At 40.1% G+C, this 19002-nt stretch overlaps 1 protein-coding gene, 1 non-coding gene and 1 pseudogene across 9 annotated transcripts in view, besides 3 other annotated features; all 3 read left to right on the top strand.

Annotated features, from left to right (window-relative positions):
- On the top strand, positions 2563 to 3616 carry CAPZA1P3 (CAPZA1 pseudogene 3; annotated as a pseudogene).
- LOC124905290 (small nucleolar RNA U3) lies at positions 5060 to 5275 on the top strand. Its single transcript, XR_007068448.1, has one exon. It is a non-coding gene; the product is annotated as a small nucleolar RNA U3 (small nucleolar RNA).
- Positions 15814 to 16802: an enhancer, noted in NCBI's record as "H3K27ac-H3K4me1 hESC enhancer chrX:71934443-71935431 (GRCh37/hg19 assembly coordinates)". NCBI's record gives its function as "activates a minimal SCP1, AML or CMV promoter by ChIP-STARR-seq in primed H9 embryonic stem cells {active_cell/tissue: H9 hESC(primed)}" and the evidence as "EXISTENCE:reporter gene assay evidence [ECO:0000049][PMID:30033119]".
- Positions 16803 to 17787: an enhancer, noted in NCBI's record as "H3K27ac-H3K4me1 hESC enhancer chrX:71933452-71934442 (GRCh37/hg19 assembly coordinates)". NCBI's record gives its function as "activates a minimal SCP1, AML or CMV promoter by ChIP-STARR-seq in primed H9 embryonic stem cells {active_cell/tissue: H9 hESC(primed)}" and the evidence as "EXISTENCE:reporter gene assay evidence [ECO:0000049][PMID:30033119]".
- Positions 16961 to 17110: a silencer, noted in NCBI's record as "silent region_20904". NCBI's record gives its function as "represses an Ori minimal core promoter by ATAC-STARR-seq in GM12878 lymphoblastoid cells {active_cell/tissue: GM12878}" and the evidence as "EXISTENCE:reporter gene assay evidence [ECO:0000049][PMID:35858748]".
- Positions 17091 to 19002, top strand: part of PHKA1 (phosphorylase kinase regulatory subunit alpha 1) — a 135493-nt gene continuing 133581 nt past the window's right edge. For 5 of the 8 annotated variants that reach the window (NM_001172436.2, XM_006724661.3, NM_001122670.2 and 2 more), the window contains exons 1-2: positions 17091 to 17594; positions 18460 to 18618. In NM_001172436.2, the coding sequence (NP_001165907.1) occupies positions 17517 to 17594; positions 18460 to 18618 (237 nt within the window). In that variant the 5' untranslated portion in view covers positions 17091 to 17516. The remainder of the gene's footprint in view (positions 17595 to 18459; positions 18619 to 19002) is intronic. The other 3 variants (NM_001440788.1, NM_001440787.1, XM_047442160.1) reach the window with 1 other exon arrangement.

Below are 19002 nucleotides of genomic sequence, written 5' to 3'. Positions count from 1 at the left end.
GAGGCAATGCATCACAGATTATTGTGTAAGGATTGCAGGAAATGCCACATTAACACACTGTGTTATTGTAATTTCTGCATAGGACATTGAACTACACAATACCAAGGAGAAATAAACATTGAACATATCTGTGTTAGCCCATTCGCATTGCTAGAAAGGAATGCCTGGAGTATGGGCAATTTATAAAGAAAAAAGGTTTATTGGCTCACGGTTCTGCAGGCTGTACAAGCATGGCATCCACATCTGTTTGGCTTCTGGTGAGAGCCTCAGGAAGCTTACTTTCATGCGCGTCTGTGTGAAGAGACCACCAAACAGGCTTTGTGTGAGCAATAAAGCTGTTTATTTCACCTGGGTGCAGGTGGGCTGAGTCCGAAAAGAGAGTCAGCGAAGGGAGATGGATTATCATTAGTTCTTACAGGTTTTGGGTTAGGTGGTGAAGTTAAGAGCAATGTTTTGCGGGCAGGGTGGATCTGACAAAGTACATTCTCAAGGGTGGGAAGAATTACAAAGAACCTTCTTAAGGGTGGGGGAGATTACAAAGCACCTTCTTAAGGGTGGGGGAGATTACGAGGTACATTGATCAGTTAGGGTGGGGCAGGAACAAATCACAATGGTGGAATGTCATCAGTTAAGGCTGTTTTTACTTCTTTTGTGGATCTTCAGTTACTTTAGGCCATCTGGATGTATACGTGCAAGTCACAGGGGATGCGATGGCTTGGCTTGGGCTCAGAGGCCTGACACTTACAATCATGGTTGAAGGTGAAGGGGGAGCAGATGCATCACCTAGTGAGAGAAGCAGCAAGACAGACAGTGGAGGTTCCGCTCTTCTTAACAACCAGCTATGGTGTGAACTACCAAGGGAGAATCCATTCATTACCATAGGGAGGGCACCAAGCCATTCATGAGGGATACGCCCCCATGACCCAAACACCACCCACCAGGCTCACTTCCAACACTGGGGATTATATTTCAACCCAAGAATTGGAGGGGACAAGCCCCCAAACTATATTAATATCATGCATTATAATGTAATGCCAACAAATCATTACTATGGGTAATTGCCTATGTTTCTGAGCTTTATCGCTACCCTGTATGATGTAGTGATTTGTCAATTGAACATAATACCAATGAAAATATCAACACAGACGTTTTTTTCATTAGACAAGCTCATTTTAAGTTTATATAAGAAACAAATAAGCATAAATGACCAGGAAATCCTGAAAAAGAAGAACGTTTTAATGTCTGTAGTTTTACAGACATTTAAACTGTAAAACGACAGACATTAAAACGTTTTAAAGTGTGTTTTCACTTATACGTAGGTGCTAAATGATGAGAACACATGGACACATGACAGGGGGAACAACACACACTGGGGTGTGTTGGAGGGTGGGAGGTGGGAGGAGGGAGAGGATCAGGAAGAATAGCTAGTTGATGTTGGGCTTCATACCTGGGTGATGGGATGATCTGTGCAGCAGACCACCGTGTTTACCTATGTAACACATGTTTACCTATGTAACAAACCTGCACATCCTGCACATGTGCCCCTGAACTTAAAATAAAAGTTGGAAATAAAAAAAATTTAAAAATAAGGCCGGGCATGGTGGCTCAAGCCTGTAATCCCAGCACTTTGGGAGGCCGAGGCGGACGGATCACTAGGTCAGGAAATGGAGACCATCCTGGCTAACACGGTGAAACCCCGTCTCTACTAAAAACACAAAAAATTAGCCAGGCGAGGTGGCGGGCACCTGTAGTCCCAACTACTCCGGAAGCTGAGGCAGGAGAATGGCGTGAACCCGGGAGGCAGAGCTTGCAGTGAGCCGAAATCACACCACTGCACTCCAGCCTGGGCGACAGAGCGAGACTCCGCCTCAAAAAAAAAAAAAAAAAAAACTTAAAAAAAAAATTAAAAAATAAATGACAAGCACCTGACCAAGAACGTCATTCTATTATTGCTCTTGTGTTAATAATAATTATTATTACATTACTGTGTTATTCATTAACCTAATACACTACATTGAGAATAAAGGGGAGAAAACAAAGGATGAAAAACATTTTAAAGCTTTGATAATTAAAAGCAAAGGGTAGTGTCACATAACTAGAAATACAGACCAATTAACAGAATAGAATATCCATAAGTAAAAACAAATAAATATTGAAGTTTGGGATATGATGAAGATGTCATCTTAAATTGGTTGGAGAAAAGGTGAACAATTCAGCAAACTGTTGTGACAACTAGGTAGCCATCTGAAAAAAATAAAGTAGATTCATGCTTCACACTGTACATCAGGATAAACCAGAGAGGAATCAATTATTTAAATGTAAAAAATAATAATAAAGAGCATTCAAAGGAAACATGAAAGAATTCCTTTCTAACCTGAGTTTCAGGGAAAGCCTTCCTAACCACGATTCAAGATTCAAATGCCATAAAAGATGCTCTAGAATTAGATAAAAGACCAGCAGCCCAGTAGAAAAATGGGCAAGCCTCATGAACAGACAAAAGGTAGAAAAGGAAAATATAAATGGCCCCCAAAGACGCTCATCCTCATAATAAGAAAAATGCAGAGAGCAGCCCAAGATGGCCGACATTGAGGACTGAGTGTTGGATGAGAAGAAGGTGTGTATAGCTGCTAAATTCATCACTCATGCTCCCCCATGGGAATTTAATGAGTATTCAATGATGTTTAATACTTAATAATGACACTCTCCTCAGCGAAGGGGCAGCACATGCATTTGCCCAGCATAACATGGATCAGTTCACGTCTGTGAAGACAGAGAAGGATATGAAGATCAGGTCTTAATTGCAGAGCACTCTAACCTAGGTAATAGCAGATTTCTAGATCCAAGAAACAAAATTTCCTTTAAATTTGATCACGTATGGAAAAAAGCAAGTGACCCCCAGCCACAGGAAGTAGATGGAGGTCTGAAGTCTTGGAGAGAATCCTGTGACCCTGCTTTAAAAGCCTATGTGAAAGATCATTATTCCAGCGGCTTCTGTACTGTTTATGTTAAAACTATAGATGGGCAACAGACTATTCCTGCATGCATTGAAAGCCACCAGTTTCATCCTTAAAAATTCTGAAGTGGTCATTGGAGTGGAAGGTCATCATCATACCTCCTACAGCCCAGGTGGCTGGAGTGCTTAAGATTCACTATTATGAATATGGCAATGTTCAGTCGGTTAGTCATAAAGATGTACAGGATTCACTAACTGTTTCGAATGAAGTCCAAACTGCCAAGGAGTTTATTAAAATCATAGGGAATGCAGAAAATGACCATCAGACAGCAACCAGTGAAAACTATCAAACAATGTCAGATACCACATTCCAGGCCTTGCGCCGGCAGCTTCCAGTTACCCGCAGGAAAATCGACTGGAACAAGATACTCATCTACCAGATTGGCAAAGAAATGCAGAATGCTTAAAGGCTGAATGTAGAATTCTTCAGTATGAGGAAAGACAAGGATTCAACATGTGGTCATACGATAAATAAGTGATTTATAAACAAGAGTGATATTTTGCTAGGGCTTTCAAATTTAACAGGTTTTCTAGCTTCATAGAATACTGTAGAATCTATAGCATGGTCTTGATTCTTTTAAGCTCTCTGCCTTGTAATTTTCTATTATCACTAGATCTACATGTAAATCTTTTTTGGTTGTCGTTAATTCTGCTACACTTAATGTTGGAGAGGAGATCTATTTTAGAGTCATTTTACTTTTCAGAAAGTTTTCCTGGGCCATGAAACCCTGTTACTGATTTGCATAAGATATTATGTTCATTACTTTCTACCCCTATCCTTTCAAGCACTTCTGGTAATTCAGTGGTTTTTACTGATCCACCAACAGCTAAAGAGGCTACGCTATGAACTATAGCTAAATAAAAGACACATTCATCCTTCTCCTTCTGACTGCTTTGAACATTTATAGCATCTCATAACTGTAGTTTTCCAAAGCTTGGATTGGAACTTTTCAAGTCCTTTTTTGGAGGACAAAGGAAGTGACAGCTTTTCTGAGAAACATGTTTTTAAATCCAAAGGCTTTAACCACATTCCTTGCACATGAACATGTTTGCTTTTTTTTCCCTTCCCTCATTGTCTCCTTCCCATCTAATACCATTGAAGTTATAGACATCTGCATTTTTAGCAGAGTTTTATCCATTCGTTTTTAAAAACTTGAAAAATGCAGATGTTGAAGAAATAATAAGTATCCTGCCCTTTTATACTTTGTGGCAGGATTGTGCTATAAGCAAATGAATCAAGCAACTATGTAAATCATAAACAAAAACTAAAAACGAACCAAAGTAAAAAGGATAACTTCCAGGTAGCATCTTTCTATTCTAACCTGTCATTTAAGGGAATACTAGTGATTTATTCTAAACAGGATGTAAAACTTACTCCAGATTACTCTTCCTCTGTCCCGCCTGGCAAGAACTCAAGTATAACTGTGGTATAGCAGCTCTTCCCAGGTATACTGGTTATACACAGGTTTGTGTGTGATCTCAGAATACACAGCCGACATAGATATGATATGATAATTGGTAATGGCAAGTTCATTTACATTCTTTACACTTCTATGACCAGGCCTTAAGGAAAGAACAGTTTTTTAAAGAACCAGGTAGTGTCTTCCTACCTATCTCCAAATACATGTCAAAAAATAAGGGTGTTTGTGCTTTGACTTTGTTTTTGCTCAGTAACACAGTCAAGCAACAGTTTGTTTCCAAGTGGCCCATTGAGCTGTGTAAGCATTTTTGTTTATTTCAAATAAAGTGCATTGGTATCATTTGTTATTCATGCTATGCATCCATACCACGCTATCTTCTGTATCAGGTAGTCTAACAGAAATGTACCCATGTTGTTAGAAGAAAGAAAGAAAGAAAGAAAGAAAGAAAGAAAGAAAGAAAGAAAGAAAGAAAGAAGCAAAATACAAAGATTGGCAACCACCCCCAAAATTAATAACTCGTTTTATTACCAAAGCTGTGGAAAAGTAAACACTCTCATACATTCCTAATGGGTAGTATAAACTCCAATAAAGGGCAATTTGGCATTATCTATCAAAACTAAGAATAAGGGCTATACTTTCAGGGGTAATTTCTATAGTTCATTACTAGAGTAGTTTCTCTGAATGTGTAGGGTGCCAGAAACCACAAGGAGGAGGCACAGCATTCTCTAGTGAGTGTGAAGCCGGCTGTTGGTGTTGCTTCGCTGAAACTGCCATTTGCCACTGATAATCGTTCTTCTTTTCCATCAGGAGACTAAGAGGTAGAAAACGCAGTCTGAGTGGTATTTAAAAAATTACAAATACATAATTTTCCATAGAACCAGCAATTCAATTTTTGAGTGTTTGCCAATATATCTGAACACATATAAAATATGTACAGTGTTCTTAATTTCAGCTTTTTTATAACAGCAAAAGATTGGAAATGATGCAAGTATCTCTTAACAGCATACCGGTTAGATAATTTAAGAATCATTCATACAGTGAAATACTATGACATATAAAAGAATGAGGAAACTTTATTTGTACCAATATGAAAAGATCTCCAAGATGTATTGCTAAGAGTAGAAAAATCAAGGTGCCAAACACAGTATAATACACTATGTAAGAAAGGAGGTAAAATAAGAATGTATATGTTACATAAAGAACCCTGAGGCTGGGCACGGTGGCTCTCGCCTGTAATCCCAGCACTTTGAGAGCCCAAGGCAGGCAGATCATGAGGTTGGGAGATTGAGAACATCCTGAACATCCTGGCTAACACGGTGAAACCCCGTCTCTACTAAAAATAAAATAAAAAAAAAAAAACCTAGGCGTGGTGGTACGTGCCTGTAGTCCCAGCTACTTGGGAGGCTGAGGCAGAAGAATTGCTTGAACCCGAGAGGCAGAGGTTGCGGCGAGCCGAGATCGTGCCACTGCCCTCCAGCCTGGCCAACAGCGAGACTCTGTCTCAAAAACAAAACAAAACAAAACAAAACAAAAAACCCTGAAAAAAATATGCATTTACAGGGATTAACTGATTGGGGGAAGGTAGGATGAATTGGAAAGACAGGAGAGGAATAGGAGCAAGACTTTTCACCCTATAACTTTCATTGTTGTTTCAGTTTTTGAACCATATGAATGTATTACTTATTCAAGAAAAGGTGAGCTAAAATTAAAGATGAAACGGACATTTTAGGCAACGATAACTAGCTGAAGAAAGAGGGGTTGTTCAATGAGTCCTTAAAGAATGCAAAAAACTTTGTCATGTTCGAAAGAATAGAAATACTGAACTATGTTACATGTATTAAAGCATTAAAACATATGTTACATGTATTAAAACGTTACAGTTAAGTGTACATATTAAAAACAAGGGCAACCACCAAAACAACAGCAATGCAAACTGTAGTTTCTAAGCCAGTGTAGGGAACAAAAGGGAATATAGAAAGCATTATCAATCCTACAGAAGGAAGGAAAGGAAAAAGAAAGTTTTAAAAAATGGTAAAAAAGATAATACAAAACGAGATGGTAGAAAACCTCTCCAAATATGGCAATCAATACATTTAAACATATGGGATCCATCAACTAAAAGGCAATTATCAGAATACATATGCACATGGCTATTTGCTGCAGCATTATTTATAACAGCAAAAGACTAGAAACAACTCAAATGTTCTCTTAATAGAGGTCTGGTATGTCCACAAAATGAGGTACGATGCAGTTTTGAAAAGGAATAAAGAATATCTCTACGTTCTCTGAGGGAGTGATGTCCAAGATGTGTTGCTTATTTTGAAGGAAGCAGGGTGGATAAAAGTGTGTATAATATTATACCAGCTACATAAGGGAAGAGAAATAAATAAATAAATGTGTGTGTATATCTATATATATATATAATTCTATATCTTCCTTTATATATATTTGTGTTTAAAAATATAATATATATTTGTATTTAAAAGGGAAAGATAAGCCACAATATAAAGAAAAGTGATTACCTATAGGGGGTGGGAACAACTAGCATAAAAAAGCAGGGAGAAAAGCTAGTCTTCTTTTAGTATACCTCCTTCTGTAGAGTTGACTTTGGAACCATGTAAGTATATTACACAATTTTAACATAACTTTGTAGAAAAGCAATTCTAAAACAATAGGAAGGATAAATACGATTTAGTATTTGATAGCACAACAGAGTGACTATAGTTAATTTAATTGTACATTTTAAAATAACTAAAAGAATGTAATTGGATTACTTGTAGCACAAAAGATAAATGCTGGAGGTGACGTATACCCCATTGATCCTGATATGATTATTATACATTGTATGCCTGTATCACAATATCTCATATATCCCATAAATGTATACACCTACTATGTAACCACAAAAATTAAAAATAAAAAATATTAAGTCAAAAGCAAAATGAAACAAATGAACCTGTGTATCCAGAAGCTAACATAATCACACATAAAGTAACTTTAAAACACAACAACGTTGATGTATATCCTAACAGGATACATCTTAAGGTAGGGACAAAAATATCTGCAAAAGAATCTTAAACTCTTTGTAGTAATCACATTTTTGGTGGCATAGCTGGTATTGTTACTCTGAAACTGTTATCTGTATATGGTAGGATAACACAGATGAGTGAGATGATAACAGATTGTATGTTGTTGTCTTGAGAACCAGGATTTTATTTGTGGGAGAAAGACGATGCAGATTGTTGAGTTGAAGTAAAAATTCTTTAATCTTGAATCTTGATTGGAAAGATCATAATGACCAGGGCCCAGATTTTTATTTCCAAACACCATTTCACAATAAAAGGAACCAGGGATCCTAGGAGAAATGCTGATGTCTAGTCTGGGGGCAGGAAATGGACAAGTAGAGCCTCCAACATCTTGGAGTCTCAGAAAGCAAGGAGGCTATCACAGACCAATAAGGTTCTGTCAAAAGGACACAGTAGCCAGGGTGTAGAGGCTCCCAGGGGCCAAAGTCCCACTGGACAATTTGAGCATCAATAAGGAGAATAACTGTAATGGATTGAAATACATCAAATGTTTACACCTATATGCTTATGATAATACTGGGAAAAAATTGGTCACATTTGAAAGATGATAGGGAACCAACTCATTATTTTGGAAACCAATAAATAAAGGGAAAGAGGCAAGCATTTATCCTGCCTGTCCTATGCAAACTGTACTGGTAGGTTCCAAATAGCAGATGAAGGGAAGTTTTCTTTATTTAAAAAAAGTCAGCTAATAAATGAATATAGAATGATAGGATATCACTATTCTGCAACTCATAATGAATTAAGGGATGTAGCCGTTAAAGGACAACCAGATATTATGTGTCTCCAGATGGGAGAACTCCATATACCCTATGAGCAGTCTAGCCAAGGTAATTGAACCTGAATCTGATTAAGCCTCTAAGGTCAAGCACCAATTTGTAGGAAATACAGAAGACAGAGAAAGTGTTAAATGGTACCATAGAAATGAAATCCACAAAGTTCAACTGGGGAAACCCTACAGGACAAACAACTTGATGTATTCATCACATTCCTAGGAAAAAAAGGAAAAATAAGAAGGAACCCCTATGGCTCAAAAGACTTAAAGCCTTAAGAAGCATGTCAATCAAATGTGATGCATGGACCTTATTGGCTCTTGATTCTGACAATCTATAAACCTCTCTATCTCTCTCTCTCTCTCTCTCTCTCTCTCTCTCTCTCTCTCTCTCACACACACACACACACACACACACACACACACACACATGCACATACACAAGCATTTATGAAACAGTCGGGAAATTTGAACAAAGAAAGGATATTTGATAATATTAAGAAATTGTATTTTAGGTGTAATCATGGGTGCATGGTTATATTTAATAAAGCTTTCTTAATTTTGTAGGTACATAATATTTACATTTGGAAGAATACACAATCTGGGATTTGCTTCAGAATAATATGGGAAAGGAGAGGGTGAGAAGGTATGGATGAAGGAAACAAGATTGGACATGAGCTGACAATTGTTGAAGCAAGGTGGTAGGGTTCACTGTATTGTACATTCTATTTTTGTAATGAAATATTTTTTAAAATTTTCTACTTGTTAGGTCACAAAGGAATACAAAAATGAGGATATAATTGATCAGTAATATTAAGAGCTGGTCTGGGAAAAGACTAATAAAATAGACAAATTTCTTGGTATGTTCATCTTATAAAAAAAGAGAGAAGGCACAAATGAAATACATCAAGAATACAAAAGGGGACGTGATTCAGATTTAGAAGCGACTTAAGAATTACATGCAAAACCTTGCACAACTTTATACTGACAAATTTTGACCTCCAGAGAATACTTTGCGATATCTGGAGGCATTTTCATTGTCACAAATGGCAGGGGGCAGGGGAGGGGGGTGGGGCAGGGTGCTACTGACATCTAGTTGGTAGAGGTCAAGGATGTTGCTAAACATTCTAGAATGCACAGGACAGCCTCCCACAACCAAGAATTAGCCAGCCCAAAATGTCAATAATTCTGAGATTGAGAAGCCCTGAGCCAACTTAAATTGGCACGCTTCTAGGAAAATATTAATTATCAAAACTGGCCCAAGAAGTGGAAAATCTTGATAATAACCTCGACTCTCTATTGCATTGTTCTTTGCAATAACCAGAGAAGAAATTGAAATGATTTTCAAAAATCTAACTGTTCTCAAAAAGGCAGCAAGTGAGTGAGTTCTACCAGGTAAGTTTCACCAAGACTGAAAGTAACACATAATTTTCATTTCATCTGAACAGTTCCAAAGAAAAAGATGGGAAACTACCAAAGCCATTTTACAGCCAGGCATAATTTTGATACTGAAATGAAACAAGGACTGGTAAAAATAGAAGGCTATAGGCTGACATAATTTAAAAACAAAGGTTTGAAAATTATAAATAAAATATTACTAAATTGCATCTAGTGTGTATTAAATCTAGTGTGTTTATCGTGATCAAATGTGGTTTAGCTTAGGAATAAAAATAAGGAAAGGTACTGATGTAATTCACACATTAGCCAAGTAAAGGAATAAAACCGTATAGTTTTTTCAATGCATGCAGAAAAAGAATCCAATAAAATTCAACATTCTTTCAAAATGATGTTAATAATAAAGTTTTAGGAAGCCAAGGAGAAAAAGAAACTATTTTAATGTGATAACGGTGTCTTTTGGAAACCTACTGCAGACTTATTTAATTGTGAAATATTACACCTAGTCCCATTAAAGTCAGGAGCAAGAAGTGATAACCACTATCCCCACTATAAGGGTCATTAAGATTTGAAAGACAAAAGCACAACTGTTACTCTTAGCAAATCATATGACTGTCTATCTAGAAAACCAAAAAATATTACCCTCAAACCACTGGATTTAATGTAAGAGTTTAATAGAGAGTGGATATAAAGTAAACATACAAAAATCATTTCCCTATACATAATAATAATCAATTAAAATATAACAGCGGAAAAAATACCAAGAAATAAACTTAACCAAAAAATGCAAGACTTTCATGAAGAAAAATATAAAGTTTACCGAAAGAAATAAAAGAAGCTCCAAATAAATAAATGTGCATTTTTTTGTAGACAGGAAAGCAAAACACTGTCAATATGTCAATTCTCCCCAAACAAATCTACAAATTCAATGCAATCAGAATAAAAATCAGAATTTTCAACTGGACATGGTGGCTTTACACCTGTAATCTCAGCACTCTGAAAGGCCTAGGAGGGAGATCACTTGAGGCCAGGAGTTCAAGACCTGCCTGCACAATATACACCCCACCTCTACAAGAAAATTAAAAAATTAATGGAGCATGGTGTCATGCACCTGTAGTCCTAGATACTTGAGAGGCTGAGACGGAGGATTGCTTGAGCCCAAGAGTTCAAGGCTGCAGTGAGCTATAATTGTGCCACTGCACTCCAGCCTGGGTGACAGAGTGAGACCCTGGCTCCCCAAAAAATAATTTCCGTAGAACCTGACCCGATGATTCTAAAATTCCAAGGTAGTACAATATTGGTGAAGGAATAGAAAAACAGATTGATGGAACAGAATCATGGGTATGCTCAAAGCAGCATTTCAAATCAAGGGAAAAGAATTACTCAATAAATGGTGTTAGCGGCCGGGCACGGTGGCTCAGGCCTGTAATCCCAGCACTTTGGGAGGCCGAGGCGGGCGGATCGCGAGGTCAGGAGATTGAGACCATCCTGGCTAACACAGTGAAACCCCGTCTCCACTAAAAATACAAAAAATAGCCGGGCGTGGTGTCCGGTGCCTGTAGTCCCAGCTATTCGGGAGACTGAGGCAGGAGAATGGCGTGAACCCGGGAGGCGGAGCTTGCAGTGAGCTGAGATCGCGCCACTGCACTCCAGCCTGGGTGACAGAGCGAGACTCCGTCTCAAAAAATAAATAAATAAATAAATAAATAAATAAATAAATAAATAAATAAATGGTGTTAGCATAACTGGCTAACCATTTAGGAAAATATTAAGCCAAATTTATGCCTAGACCCATTTAGAAAAATACAGAAGAATTAAAAGTTACAGATAAAAAGCACAACAATAAACGTATTAGATAAATGATCATTTATTGATGATCTTGGGGGCAAGAAGACTTTTATTTATTTATTTATTTAGAGAGAGAGAGAGAATCTCACTCTATCACCCAGGCTGGAGTGCAGTGGCATGATCTCGATTCACTGCAACCTCCGCCTCCCGGGTTCAAGCGATTCTTGTTCCTCAGTCTCCAGAGTAGCTGGGATTACAGATGTGCGCCACCATGCCCGGCTAATTTTTGTACTTTTAGTAGAGACAGGGTTGACTTTATTCATTTCTTAGGGCTGCTGCAACACATTACCACAAACTGGGTGGCTTACAACAGAAAATTATTCTCTCACAGTCTGGTGGCCAGAAGTCCTAAATCAAGGTGTCAGCAGGATTGGTTCCTTCTGAAAGCACTGAGGGTCAATCCATTCCATGCCTTTTTTCTAGCTCCTGGTGGCTGCTGGCAATCCTTGGTGTTCTTTGGCTAGTAAATGCATCACTCCCATCTCCACCTGGGTCTTCACATCACTACCTTCTTCTTGTGTGCCCTGTCCTCTTCCTATAAGGATGCTCATCATTAGATTTAGGGCCCGGTTGGAAAGTCTGACTGGATTTCATCTCCAGATCCTTAACTACAGCTGCAAAGACTCTTTTTCCAAATAATATCGCATTGGCAGGTTCTAGGTGGACATATCTTTTGTGGGGGTGGAGGGCACTGTTCAACCCACTCCAAAGGCCTTTTAATTTAAGACAAAAGGGAAAAGATTCATCAATTTGACTTCATTCAAAATAAAAGCTATATGAAAAAAGGCATCATAAATAATGTTAATAGACAAACCACTTATGGGAAAACATGTGCGGTATCTCTTTTACATTTATTTTAGAGAAAAGGTTAAAGTCCAGAATATATAAGTTGTAAAAATTGCTGTAACTCAAAAAGAAAAAGACAAGCAACCCAATAGAAAAATGACCAAGTATATGAGCAGTTCTGTTAGGGAAGCGAGAGCCTAGGAGAGCCAGAGTAACACCATTTTAAGTTCAGGTTCATCTTGAGATGAACAAGGCCCATTCCTTGCCAGTCACGACCCACATTCATAATATATTTACAGCTGAGGAAACAACCTAAAGACACCTACAAGGGGACACTCCTATAACAGTGGAAAGTCTCAATGTCCCAACACCCATAACAATACACATTTTCAAGATAATTATAGTTATGCTTTGATGTCTTCACACACTAAAATGTCAAGGATAGTTTTCTTTAAATCAATAAAACAATAAATTTTGCCATGCTGTCTGCTCACTCTCACATAGACACAGCTTGGTTTAGTCTTTACGTGGACAAGACTGCTACATAAGAAAAACTTAAGACAAAGACAGTGCGTTCATCTGCCTGCTTTCTGAGGACATCCTACTCTGTAACAGAGCAGTTTCTAGTAAACTTGCTTCCTTCACTGTGCTGTGTGACTCACCTTGAATTCCTGCACGAGATCTGAGAACTCCCTCTTGGAGTCTGTATTGAGACCCCTTTCTGGTAACAGTTTTTAACCAGAAGAAGAAATAAAATGAACTAAATAAATAAATAAACATAAATTAAACTAAAATAAACATTAAAAGTGATCAATGACATTCATATTCAAGAAAATAAAAATTAAAAGATGCCCTATATTTATATCAAAATTTAAAATGCACATTTCCAAAACACCTCTATGCATTCACAAGAAGACATATATGTATGCTCACTGAAGTACTGTTTTCAGGAGTTCTAATGGGGAAACAAACTAAATGCTTATCAATAAAGGAATGCCTATATAAATCATAGTTTATGAGGTAACTCTATGTAATAACAGGACTAGATCTTCATGGTATAATTTTGAGTGAATAAAGAAATATGCAAAATGTAGGTACAGTATAATACAGTTCATATTAAATGAATACACAGAAAACAACACTACATATTTCATATGCAGTTCTACATATATATGTAAATCCATAGAAAGAAATCAAGAAGGATACAAACCAACCCAATAGCAGTGGTTACCTTTGGGAAGGGAGATAAAGGGGACTGTGACGGAGGGTGATAGACATACGGAACTTTAGTCTAATCTTCAATATTTCAAAATTTTTCATTGAGAATGCATTCATATGTTACCTGTATAATCTTAAAAAAAATCTTAAAAAAATAATTCTTAAACAAAGTGAATGGGAAATAATGAAAAGGAAATAGTGTATGGACTATTTTTTTCAAGACATTAAATAATGAATTATTTTTAATTATGATGAGAATAAGCAAACTGTAGAACATCTACTAGAAGGAAGATTAGTACAGACATTAATGTAAAATGCAAAATGCTTATAATGTGAAGTTTTAAACTTTATGAATTTTAAGAAATTGGTATGATGAAAAAATTTCAGTAATATAAGGGAGCAACAAGAAAATTGTCTCAGGAACTTGGAAATACAATTTTATTTGAGAGTCACACTATAAAGTGAATGTACAATGAATCAAAGAGAAAAATCACCTTCATGAAACATAATGCCTTCCACTGGCAAGTCTTGTCTATAAGTCGTTTGATGATTTTGACATATGTAAGGAAAGAATGTGCCAGTAAGCCATGGAAGTGGAGAAAAGAGAGAATCAGTGAGGCCAACATGGACACAGCAGACTTGTCAGTTTCTCCATCTTTCCAATGGGATTAGCAATAGTGCCTACTTCATAGAGTTAGTGTACAAAGCAAACAGCACCTGGTATGTAGTGAGGCTGCACATTATTAAAGGGAGGGAATGTGGTGGTCAGGCCAATATAAACGGTGTCATAGTTCTATTTCTCATTATCAAACAGCATCCTGGTTTTCATACATCAGGCTCCCGTGAGGTAATCAGCACGAGTCAGCCTCCTGACTCTGACTGGTTCTGGGACACTGAACAGATCCAGTTTCCGAGACTGCAAGACTCAAAGTCCAGCCTGGACCGAGGTTGAAAAAGCACCAAGGCAATGCCATCCAGCAAGACCTCTTGATAGCCAGCCAGTAGTCTTTTGTAGTGACACCCTACCTTTGCCATACCTAATCTACTCAAACTTCTAAATAGCTTGAAGGGGAGTGGGGAAGGTCTATGCAGAAGAAATAAAAGAGCTGGAAAAATAAATTAAAATATTAACAGGTGTTTGTGCGAAGGAATTATGGGTGATTTTAGTATTTTCTTTGTTTTACTTTTCTATACTTTCCATGTTTTATTTAGTGTGTATTACTTTAATATTTAATATAAATATATTTAAGATTTAACATAAATATAAATATTTAATGTTTCATAAACATGTTTAAATCATGGTGAAGCGAAGAAAAAGAGAGGCTCTAGCTTGAAGGAGGCACAAGGGTGGAGAAACGGCTTCTGAGGCTACAGCTGAGGGGAAGATGTCAGCGAGTTAGGGGCAGAGCAGGGATGATCCAGATGCTAGTTCAAGTTCGAGACCAGCCTGGCCAACATGGTGAAACCCCGTCTCTACTAAAAATACAAAAATTAGCCGGGAGTGGTGGCAGGCGCCTGTAATCCCAGCTATTCGGGAGGCTGAGGCAGGAGAGAATAGTTTGAACCCGGGAAGTGGATGTTGCAGTGAGCGGAGATCGCGTCACTGCACTCCAGCCTGACCGACAGAGCGAGACTCCGCCTCAAAAAATAAAAATAAAAAAAGATGCAAGTCCAAGATGCACTTGCTTTCCATGGAGAGACTTTTTCTTCCACTGTGCACCTAGATTTTGAAGTGGCTTGTTATTTGCCAGTCATTGCATTTGCGTGGCGAATCACTGCAATGGAAAGCATCTCCTTGAGAACTCTAAGTGTGTCACGATATCTAACTATATCACTGGCTGTTGAACCTGAAAGTCCCATATTTGAGTTCTTAAACATTCCCTCCTTCCTCATCATCATTACCAAATTACTAGTCATCTCCTAGGTGCCTGCCTCTATGCTAAATTGGGCGGAGGTTTTGGGGTGGAATGGAGGGAGCTTATGAGGAGAGAAATAAAAAGATAAACGAAAATGCAAAGTCACCGTGGCCTGGATGAGGTGGCTAAGGAAGGTTTAGAACTTGAAGTCAATCGGTCTAATTTTCTTATCCCGCGATTCAGGGAATAGGTGGTACTTAAGCAGAGCCTTGAAAGGTTTGCAAGGTTTGAATAAGCAGAGAGCAACAGGTGGGGGATGGAGGGAGGAGCCGGAGATGAACGGAGCAAAGGCACTGGGGTCCAAGCCGGGCCGCCCCAAGGGTTGCAGACTGATTCCACGAGGCCAGTAAGCAGCGTTATCTGCAAGCTGCTGCCTTTTTTTTTTCTTTTTTTGAAACGGAGTTTCGCTCTTGTCTCCCAGGCTGGAGTGCAGTGACGCGATCTTGGCTCACTGCAACCTCCACTTCCAGGGTTCAAGCGATTATCCTGCCTCAGCTTCCCGAGTAGCTGGGACTACAGGAGCGCCCCACCACGCCCGGCTAATTTTTGTATTTGTATCGGCGGCGGGGGAAGCGGGGGGGGGGGTTTCCTCCATGTTGGCCAGGCTGGTCTTGAACTCCTGACCTCAAGTGATCCGCCCACTTCAGGCTCCCAAAGTGCTGGGATTACAGGCGTGAGCCACCGCACCCGGCCACTACAAGCTGCTTTTATTATTTTATTTTTATTTTATTTTTTTTGAGACGGAGTCTTACTCTGTCGCCTGGGCTAGAGTGCAGTGGCACGATCTTGGCTCACTGCAACCTCTGCCTCCTGGGTTCAAGCGATTTTCCCGCCTCAGCCTCCCGAGTAGCTGGGATTACAGGCGCGCGCCACCATGCCGGGCTAATTTTGTATTTTTAGTAGAGATGGGGTTCCGCCATGTTGGCCAGGCTGGTCTCGGACTCTTGACTTCAGGTGATCTGCCCTCCTCAGCCTCCCAAAGTGCTGGGATTACAGGAGTGAGCCACCGCGCCCGGCCTCCAAGCTTCTTACGCAGCCTTCCTTCTCCACTTTATTTTCAGCTGAATATTTGTTGCCTCAGCCTTGTGACCTACGTGCGCACGAGGGAGCCATCCAAAGCAGTTATAGGATCTCTTCCAGCTCGAGTCCTGCCAACGCCGCCTTCTGGGGCTGCCAGCTCCCAGCTGTTCCCCGCACTGGCTTCCTCAGAGTGCACCACTGCCTCCTCCCTCCCAAGCCCGCAGACTCGCCAGTTACTAAGGAGTAAAGTACCCTAGGGAGTTCCTGTTTGGTTGGTCTGGCTGGAAGTGAGGCGTGTAATCTGAGCTTTTAAAGTCAAAATCTAAAATACAATAAAGACCCAGAAATCCAAGTCTTCAGACCTGGAACACAAGCGTGTCTTTCAGTTTTGAAGTTCACTGTAGGTTCCTTTATAAAACTAGTCCTGTAGAACGAAGGAGAGCCTCCCCAACATCCTGTGTGCACAGCAAGTGTGGAAAACTGAAATAGTGATCTGAGGTGTTTCGAAAATAAACCTCGGAAAGCACATTGCCTACGGTGACACATTCTCGGCCCCGGGGCGGGCGAGCCCCGGGGTCGCAGCGCGCAGCTGCCAGAACCAGTCGCGCCCGCCCCGCCTCCCGCTCGCGTCTCCCGCAAGGTGGAGGCGGCGCAGCGGTCGTTGACCTGTTGGCGGCGGCCGGGCGGGAGGCTGTGGGCCGCGGCGGTCTCCCGGGGTTGAGGGGAGGATGCAGGAGTCACACGCGGAGGCCGGACTGGACTAAGGGGGCAGGAGCGGCGCCTGGGGCGCTGCGGCGGGGCTCTAGACCGCGGGAAGCCAGTGCTAGCGCTGGCGCGTGGTGGGCCCCTGAGGCCGCCGGAGTCCGGAGAGGTACGCGGAATCCGCGGCGCCAGGCCTGAGCGGTGGGAGGGCTCTGCGGGGCCTGGTGTTCAGGCGTCCCACCACGAGGGTGGAGCAGCGTTGGATACTTGTTCCTTAGGGACCGAAGGCTCCGGTGGCACCCGGGCTATTTCTCAGAGGACAATTAGTAACGTGTCGCCATGAGGAGCCGGAGTAACTCCGGGGTCCGGCTGGACGGCTACGCTCGACTGGTGCAACAGACCATCCTGTGCCATCAGGTAACTGCAGGGGTGTCTCTCGTAATCACCGAGCGAGGATGTAGCTTGTCATAGCTTGGACGGAGACCTTGGATGAACTCCGTGCGTGCGTGCGTGTGTGGGTGTGTGTGTGTGTGTGTGTGTGTGTGTGTGACGGAGACCTTGCATGAACTCCGCGTGTGTGTTTGTGTGTGTATCTGTATCTGTCTGTAGCAGGTTCTCCCGCCCCTGTTAATTATATATTTTTTCTGCTGGTTTTTCATTGCTAGTTCGCTAGTTCATTCTAACTAGAAAGGTAAAACTTTCTTTTAATAATACCCATTATAAATGCACTTAATAATACCTTTAATTGTGCCTTTAATAATACCCACATTTCAGACTCGAAAGGCTTCAGCCACCGCTTACCCCTTATTCAAGATAGTATTTGCAAAGGGCACAAAGTTTCAGTTATAAGATGAGTAAGTTCTGGGGATCTGATGTACAGCAGCATGGTGACTGTAGTTAATCATACTGTACTGTATACTTGAAATTTACTAAGAGAGTAGATCTTAAGTATTCTCACCACACCAAAAAAAAAGGTAGCTGTGAGGTAATAGATGTGTTAATAAACGTCATTTTGGTAATTTTCCAATGAATACATAAATCATCATGTTGTACTCCCTAAATATACACAATTTTTAATGTGTTGAATATAGCTCAGTAAAGCTTGGGAAGGTGGGAAGATAGCATTTGCCTGCAATAGGTCAGAAGAAGAGGAGGTTATAAAACTCAAGAGTGGAGAAGTAGAAGAAAGACCAAAGTCCCTAAAAAACCCATTTGGAAGATTCTGTTTCCTGATGTTAACACCTATGGTTACCTTCCTGCCCTCTTTTTCTTGACCTTGCAGAATCCAGTGACTGGCTTGCTTCCAGCCAGCTATGATCAGAAAGATGCTTGGGTCCGAGATAATGTGTACAGCATCTTGGCTGTGTGGGGTTTGGGCCTGGCCTATCGGAAGAATGCAGACCGGGATGAGGATAAGGCAAAGGCCTATGAATTGGAGCAGGTACTCAAAATAAAAATACAAAGAGATCTGGAGCTATGTGTGATTGGGGGTTGGGGGCAGAGTGGGGACTGAAGGAAGTGAAACCCACCAAAAGCTAAGAGAACTGTATTTTGCCTTTCCCTCTTTCATCATCTTTCTGAAATTATATTCCAGAAAGCTTTCCTGTATTGTACTGAAGTGGTATTCTTGCAGTGGAAACTTGAAACTTGCTGATTTGAGGGAGAGGGAACAGTCTGTTCTGTTACAGTGGAAAATCCTATCCTGGGATCTTTCCTAAAATGCATGACTCTCTAAGTTAATCTATCTTGTAGTCACCACTGTATTTATTCTCATTGAGAAAATGTTTGGGAGCAGGTATCTACTATTTTATTTCATTTTTAAAAA

Source organism: Homo sapiens, chromosome X (genome assembly GCF_000001405.40).
Source record: "Homo sapiens chromosome X, GRCh38.p14 Primary Assembly".
Taxonomy (NCBI): domain Eukaryota; kingdom Metazoa; phylum Chordata; class Mammalia; order Primates; family Hominidae; genus Homo; species Homo sapiens.
Note: the sequence above shows the minus strand (reverse complement) of the source record. Positions and strands in the feature narration are given on the sequence as shown.